Below are 8,098 nucleotides of genomic sequence, written 5' to 3' on the forward strand. Positions count from 1 at the left end.
TTAGAAAAAATAAAAATGGCATAGTTTTGGTGATGATATAATAATCCATTTGGCCATTATTTGATTTTAATTAAAACAATTTATATAGAACTTTATATTTGTATTAATAAGTGGGGTTATAATTTGATTTAAGTGTCTTCAGACCATGCTCAACTTAATGTGAACATGCTCCAAAGGTTTAGTTATAGCTGAGTAGTCTGGAATTTAAAATTTCTCTTTTTTTGTAGAAACATATAAATGTTTGGCTAACTGGTAAGATTCCAAAATACTAATATGTAAGTATTAAATAACTATAAAAACAGCATAGCTGAAATATTAGTAGATAAAATGTATACATAAAATCATTAAATACAGAGTATTCTTTAAAATCATTTAGAGGAAATCAGATGAGAAATTGATGAAGAAGTAGCAATAAGTAATATGGAAAATCTGCTTGTGGTGTTCAGGTCTATGATCTCAACCATTCTTGTGTAATTTATTTTGTTTCTTACATTGAGAAGTTGACTAAAGGCCTATAATGGCATGTGACAAAGAGAGTTGAGCCTATTAATATACAGTTCAATAATAATACTTGTCCCATGAATCTATTAAGTATTAAATTAATGTATGAAAGTCATGTAGCACCATTTCTGGTAAATTCAATCTAAGAAATCATATATAATAGCATACTAATGTAGCCTTATTAGAACATTTGTACATAAAAAACAAATAATAACGATAATTTAAAACTTATTTCCCTTTGAGGAAAGCAAAACTTGAAGATAAAGCAAAATAGATTTTAAAGAGATAATTGCTGCTTATAAATAGAATGGATAAAACACACAGAATAAAATATGAAGTGGAAGAAAAGAGCAAGACACTCATAATGCAAAAATACTTCCCTCCACAAGTTGTTTATGAAAAGAGATAGCACATATACTCATTCGCAGACTGGTAAATAGGTGACACTGTTGAGATAGATTAAAATAATATAAAAAGAGATTGTGACTAAATTCATGTACACGTGTCATGGAAACAAGAAGTGCCACCATTTTGTGAAGTATTAACACATTGGAATAACTCTATTTGTTTTTTTTTTTTTTTCAGTTTTCCACTACTCTGATGGAAACTGTATGTAGATTTGATATACACAGACAGCTTGTATTTAATTTAGATAATAACTAATGGAATGACTGATAATTAAATACCAACGAAAGTAATAACTATGTTCACTCTTTATCCAGACCTTAACCTAGTGTTTCCAATGTACTGCACATTGGAATCTGCTGGAGATCTTTATAAAACACAAAATCTGGCTCTTAATTCCAAAATCTGTTTTCATTGGTATGCAAAATGGGCATCATTCTTGTCAAAAGCTCCCAAGACTGTTTCAATACACAGCAAAATTTGGAACACCTGCCTTTATTTGATATGAAAAGAAACACATATTGTCTATATATATAGGAGAAATGTAAATTTTTCTGCCTTCCCTTCTGATAACATACGAAAACATGACCCTTTCATTACAAATATTCTTTCTCTCGCCTCCTTTCCATGATTCCCATGGGTTTTAGGACTCTATTCTTTGAGTTCCCTAGAAAAACAACAGAGTATCCCTGGACAATGTTGTGAGGGCAGCATAGGTGATCAGGAGAAAACATGCCAAAGAACAATGAGATTCTGATTCCAGTTATCTCAAAAGACAATGCCAAATTGAAGGCCAAGGAAAGTCTTATGAGAAACTATTACTGAGAAGCAGCAAGTCTTCTATGCTACAGGTGGTCAGCTTCAGAGAGCAAAGGGAGCCTCCCAGTGTATGCAGGCTCAGCTCTGCAGATGGCTTCCCACCTTCAAAACATGTTAGCCAATCACTGCATTTATTTAAAGAGAATAGACAGCCTTAGAACAAATATGAACAGCTCTCTCTAGATTACAATAAAATGACGAACATCAAAGTATAAATCAGTATTAATTACTAAAAAAATTTTAAACACATACCAAATAAATTATTTTGCATTCTAAATATATACACATAATGGGGCCAGGTACAGCGGCTCATGCATGTAATCCCAGCACTTTGGGAGGCCAAGGCGGGTGAATCACGAGGACAGGAGTTCGAGACCAGCGTGACCAACGTGGTGAAACCCCATCTCTACTGAAAAAATTAGCCAGGCATGGTGGTGTGCACCTGTAATCTCAGCTATTCTGGAGGCTGAGGTGGGAGAATTGCTTGAACCTGGAAGGCTGAGGTTGCCATGAGCCGACATCTGGCCATTGCACTCCAGCCTGGATGACAGAGCAGGACTCTGTCTCAAAAAAAAAAAAAAAAAAAAGTTATATACACATAATGGCAATAATACTTAATTTTTCTTTTATATACTTGTTTTAAAATTGCAATTAATTTGCAAATATACCCTTTTAAAATTTGTAAGGATTTCAAAAATTTTAGTAAGGCAAATGAGATCATTTATATCTTTAACAAATCAAGCACAAAAATTAAAACTTCAACTAGATATGCCACTAAGAATATAAGAGATTAAACAGAATAAAAAGTGTAATAGACAGGCATACCTCATTTTACTGTTCTTTGCTTTTATTGAGCTTTGCAGTTACTGTTTTTAAAAAAAGTTGAAGGTTTCTGGCAACCCTGTGTCCAGCAAGATTATTGGTGTTATTTTTGCAGTATGTGCTTTCTTTGTGTTTTTGTGTCATATTTGGGTAATTTTCACAACATTTTAACTTTATTTATTATTATTATATCTCTGATGACAATCTGCAATCAATGATTTCTGATGTTACTATTATAATTTGGCAGAGGGCTGGGGGGTACCATAATCCACGCCCATATAAGACTGCAAACATAATTGGTAAGTGTGTATATTCTGACTGTTCCACCAAATGGCCATTCTCATCTTTTTTCCCTCTCTTTGAGCCTTCCAATTTTTTGAGACATAACAATACAATATTGGACCAATTAATAACTCTGCAATGGCCTTTACTTGTTCAAGTGAAAGGAAGAGTTGAACATCACTCACGTAAAATCAAACGCTAGAAATGAAACTTAGTAAAGAGGGCAGGTCAAAACCTGGATAGGCAGAAAGCTAGACTGCTTGCCAGTTAGCCAAGTTACAAATGCAAAAGAAAAAAAATTTAAAGCAATTAACAGTGCTATTCCAGTGAACACATAAAAGATAAGAAAGGGAAATAGGCGTATTGCTGATACGGAGAAAATTTTAGTGGTCTGGATAGAAGATCAAATTATTCTCAACATTCCCTGAAACCAAAGCCTAATCCAAAGCAAGGCCCTAACTCTCTTTAATTCTATGAAGGCTGAGAGATGAGGATTCTGCAGATCAAAAGTTTGACACTAGTAGAGATTGATTCATGAGTTTAAGAAGCCATCTTCATAAAATAAGAGTGTAAGGTGAAGCAGCAAGTATTGATAAAGAAATTGCAAGTTATTAGAACAAAGGGGCTACAGGCCCCAGGCAACTCCAAAACCCAGCAGGACACTCATTAAATCTTAAAGCTTCAAAATAGTTTCCTTTGACTCCATGTCTCCCATCCAGGGCACACGGATGCAATGGGAGGGCTCTCAAGGCTTTGGGCAGCTCTGGCCCTGTGGATCTGCCTGTCTTTTTCTCATCTTCCTGTCTTTTTCTGAGCCCTCCAAACTGTTCCAACCTCTGCCCATTACCCAGCTCCAAAGTTGCTTCCACATTTTCAGGTATCTTTATAGCAATGCCTCACCTCTCTAGTTTCTTGTATTAGTTTGTTGTCACATTGTTCTCACATCTTCTGTATTACTTTATTCTCATATTTTTTCCATATTGCTGTAAAGAACTACCTGAGACTGGGTAATTTATGAAGAAAAGAGGTTTAAATTACTCACAGTTTCCCAGGTTGTATAGGCACCATGGCTGAGGAGGCCTAAGAAAACTTATAATTCCGAGAAGGTGAAGGGGAAGCCAATATGTCCTACTGACCAGAGTAGGGGGAAGGTGGAGGGGAGCTGCTACACACTTTTAAACAACCAGATTTTCTGAAAACTCCATAAGACAGCACTGGGGGGTGGTCCTAAACCATTAGACGTGGAATGCCCTCAAACTTCTCCATTTTACACAAACACTTACACATGGAAGCCCCACGAAACCAAAAAATTGCTGCAAAGGAGTTTTTCTCCTTGTCTTTCCTCATTCTTAAATTTTTTCCCACTTTTTGTTCTTAAAAGGAGGAACCAAGCTGTGGCCTAGGGTTTTTTGTGTGGTGCATCAATGTGTGATGATTGTAAGTGAGACCCCACATGTTTTAATGTTAAGTTGTTTCTGCCTTCTTACATGTCTTAGTGAATCTTTGAAATGCTTGTTCTTCAGTGCCATAAAGAAGTAGCACTTGAAAATAAATTTATTTCTTCAGCAAGGCCATTTTTTTTAACTTTCTGCAGAAAGAGTGAATGCACCAGCTGTTTTGCCACAACAGTACACTGAACAAAGGAGACAGGGTCATTCAAAACTTGATGTGTCCACCTCACTGCTGTGTCCAGTTTCTATTGGCAGGAATAGGACCTCACATTCTGTATTTGTCCTGACTGGCTAACAACTTAGAACTTTATAAAAGAGCAAAAGTCAAAGGAGAACAAAGGAAGGAGGATGTAACTTGAAGAATGTTGAGAAAGGTTAAAAGTATCTTCAAATAACTCTCAATAAACTAGGTATTGATGAGATGTATCTCAGAATAATAGCTATCTATGACAAACCCACAGCCAATATCATACTGAATGGGAAAAAACTGGAAGCATTCCCTTTGAAAACTGGCACAAGACAGGGATGCCTTCTCTCACCACTCCTGTTCAATGTTGTGTTGGAAGTTCAGGGCTATCAGTCAGGAGAAAGAAATAAAGGGTATTCAATTAAGAAAAGGGGAAGCCAAATTGTCCCGTATGCAGATGACATGATTGCAAAGTTAGAAAACCCCATCATTTCAGCCCAAAATCTCCTTAAGCTGATAAACAACTTCAGCAAAGTCTCAAGATACAAAATCAATGTGCAAAAATCACAAGCATTCATATATACAAAGAACAGACAAACAGAGAGCCAAATCATGAGTGAACTCCCATTCACAATTGCTTCAAAGAGAATAAAATACCTAGGAATCCAACTTACAAGGGATGTGAAGGACCTCTTCAAGGAGAACTACAAACCACTGCTCAACGAAATAAAAGGACACAAACAAATGGAAGAACATTCCATGCTCATGGATAGGAGAAATCAATATTGTGAAAATGGCTATACTGCCCAAAGTAATTTATAGATTCAATGCCATCCCCATCAAGCTACCAATGACTTTCTTCACAGAATTGGAAAAAACTACTTTAAAGTTCACATGGAAGCAAAAAAGAGCCGGCATTGCCAAGACAATCCTAAGCCAAAACAACAAAGCTGGAGGCATCATGCTACCTGACTTCAAACTATACTACAAGACTACAGTAACCAAAACAGCATGGTACTGGTACCAAAACAGAGATACAGACCAATGGAACAGAATAGAAACCTCAGAAGTAATACCACACATCTACAACCATCTGATCTTTGGCTAGCCTGACAAAAACAAGAAATGGGGAAAGGATTCCCTATTTAATAAACAGTGCTGGGAAAACTGGCTAGCCATATGTAGAAAGCTGAAACTGGATCCCTTCCTTACACTTTATACAAAAATTAATTCAAGATCGATTAAAGACTTACATGTTAGACCTAAAATCATCAAAACCCTAGGTGAAAACCTAGGCAATACCATTCAGGACATAGGCATGGGCAAGGACTTCATGACTAAAACACCAAAAGCAATGGTAACAAAAGCCACAGTTGACAAATGGTGTCTTATTAAACTCAAGAGCTTCTGCACAGCAAAAGAAACTACCATCAGAGTGAACAGGCAACTGACAGAATGGGAGAAAATTTTTACAATTTACCCATCTGACACAGGGCTAATATCCAGAATCTACAAAGAACTTAAACAAATTTGCAAGAAGAAATCAAACCACCCCATCAAAAAGTGGGCAGAGGATATGAACAGACACTTCTCAAAAGAAGACACTTATGCAGCCAAAAGACACAAGAAAAAATGCTCATCATCACTGGCCATCAGAGAAATGCAAATCAAAAACCACAATGAGATACCATCTCACAACAGTTAAAAGGCAATCATTAAAAAATCAGGAAACAACAGGTGCTGGAGAGGATGTGGAGAAATAGGTACCCCTTTACACTGTTGGTGGGACTGTAAACTAGTTCAACCATTTTGGAAGACAGTGTGGCAATTCCTCAAGGATCTACAACTAGAAATACCATTTGACCCAGCCATCCCATTACTGGGTATATGCCCAAAGGATTATAAATCACGCTGCTTTAAAGACACATGCACACATATGTTTACTGTGGTGCTATTCACAATAGCAAAGACTTGAAACCGACTCAAATGTCAATCAATGATAGACTGGGTTAAGAAAATGTGGCACATATACATCATGAAATAATAAGCAGCCATAAAAAACGATGAGTTCATGTCATTTGCAAGGACATGGATGAAGCTGGAAAACACCATTCTGAGCAAACTGTCGCAAGGACAGAAAACCAAACAATGCATGTTGTCACACACAGGTGGGAATTGAACAAGGAGAACACTTGAACACAGGGAACATCATCCACCAGAGCCAGTAGTTAGTGGAGTGGGGGGAGGGGGGAGTGGTAGCATTAGGAGACATACCTAATGTAAATGACGAGTTAACGGGTGCAGCTAACAGGTGCAGCACACCAACATGGCACATATATACATATGTAACAAACCTGCACGTTGTGCACATGTGCCCTAGAACTTAAAGGATAATTTAAAAAATTAAAACCACAATAAATTAAAAATATATATATATAAAAGAAAAAAGTAAGTGACCTATCCCTCACCCCCTAAAAAAAAAATACCTTCAAATAAGGAAGAGGAACAGACTATATCCTAATGCTTGCTTTGACCAGTATGAGCATGCCAGAGTAAATATTTAGGCTACATTGTAGGAGCTAAGAACATAAAGTACATTGATTTCTTTATTACGGCTAGCAGATATTTAAAAATGTCAGCACAGGTCTTTGAATAAGTTTTGCTTCTAAGAGAACTTACTATTTATTCTTAATTAGATGGGGAGAAAAGTCTTTGAAAAGGAACTTCTACTTTACCTTTTACAGTGAAGCAGCCTAGGGTCACTGGAGCAGTCTTGTTGTTTGAAGTATCACCAGGAGTTCTTTGTCTCAAGACCCAAAATTTAAGGATTGTGGACACCAATGGTAATGTTGGAAGAGAAGTTTAATAAGCGAAAGAGAAAAGCTGACTACTGTGAAGAGGAAGACTGAGAGGGTTGTCATTTCACAGTTGAATGCAGACTTTTATATACAAAAATAAAAGCTAATGAGTCACAGTGTTTTGTGTGCATAAGGCATGAAAAACTGGTTAGGACTGGATGTCTTATTTGCATACATACAAATTCTTGTTAGCTCCACCTCTTCCCTCTAGTGTGCATGCAGGTCCTTAGCCTGAGTTACTGCATGTTGTTTTATTTTGCTTATTGACTCTGTGTCACTGCGGACGTGTCTGGTTCTGTGTAACTTTCCTTATCTATACAGCTACAGGTCTGTCTTAGGAAAGCACCCCGTGCAAGTTCCTTTATCTGACTATGTCCGAAAAGAAAAGGAATGTGCTCACTGAAGACCACCGTGTGTGTGTAGGCAGAGCTCACTGGTTGCACAGAAGACAAAGGCTTTGGACTTTGCTTCCTTACCTGCGCTTGCAGCTTGATTTCCTCCAGACTGTTATTTTTGGGGGAGGGCTTCTACCAAGAACCTTCTCCTAACTATCTGCCTAACTGGTTCCTTATTTTCTCTTCTCATTAATTTCTCTCTCCAGACGTGTATCACCTCCATGAGGGCTCCAAACACTGAGTAATCAGCTCTTACATGCATTTGCTAGATGAGTTTTTTAAACTCATTGTGTTGGGGGGGTTCTCTGTTTGGCCACTATATATCTTGAAGGTTTAACACCCTAGACATTCCAAATAGGCCCCTTTTGCTGGGAGAAG

General features: G+C 37.1%; 2 annotated features.

Moving 5' to 3' along the window:
• Positions 3,219 to 3,754: an enhancer, noted in NCBI's record as "NANOG hESC enhancer chr4:70205243-70205778 (GRCh37/hg19 assembly coordinates)". NCBI's record gives its function as "activates a minimal SCP1, AML or CMV promoter by ChIP-STARR-seq in naive H9 embryonic stem cells {active_cell/tissue: H9 hESC(naive)}" and the evidence as "EXISTENCE:reporter gene assay evidence [ECO:0000049][PMID:30033119]".
• Positions 7,132 to 7,332: a silencer, noted in NCBI's record as "peak5052 fragment used in MPRA reporter construct". NCBI's record gives its function as "represses an SCP1 promoter by STARR-seq MPRAs in K562 erythroleukemia cells {active_cell/tissue: K562}" and the evidence as "EXISTENCE:reporter gene assay evidence [ECO:0000049][PMID:32103011]".

The sequence above is a fragment of the Homo sapiens genome, chromosome 4, assembly GCF_000001405.40.
Source record: "Homo sapiens chromosome 4, GRCh38.p14 Primary Assembly".
Lineage (NCBI taxonomy): Eukaryota > Metazoa > Chordata > Mammalia > Primates > Hominidae > Homo > Homo sapiens.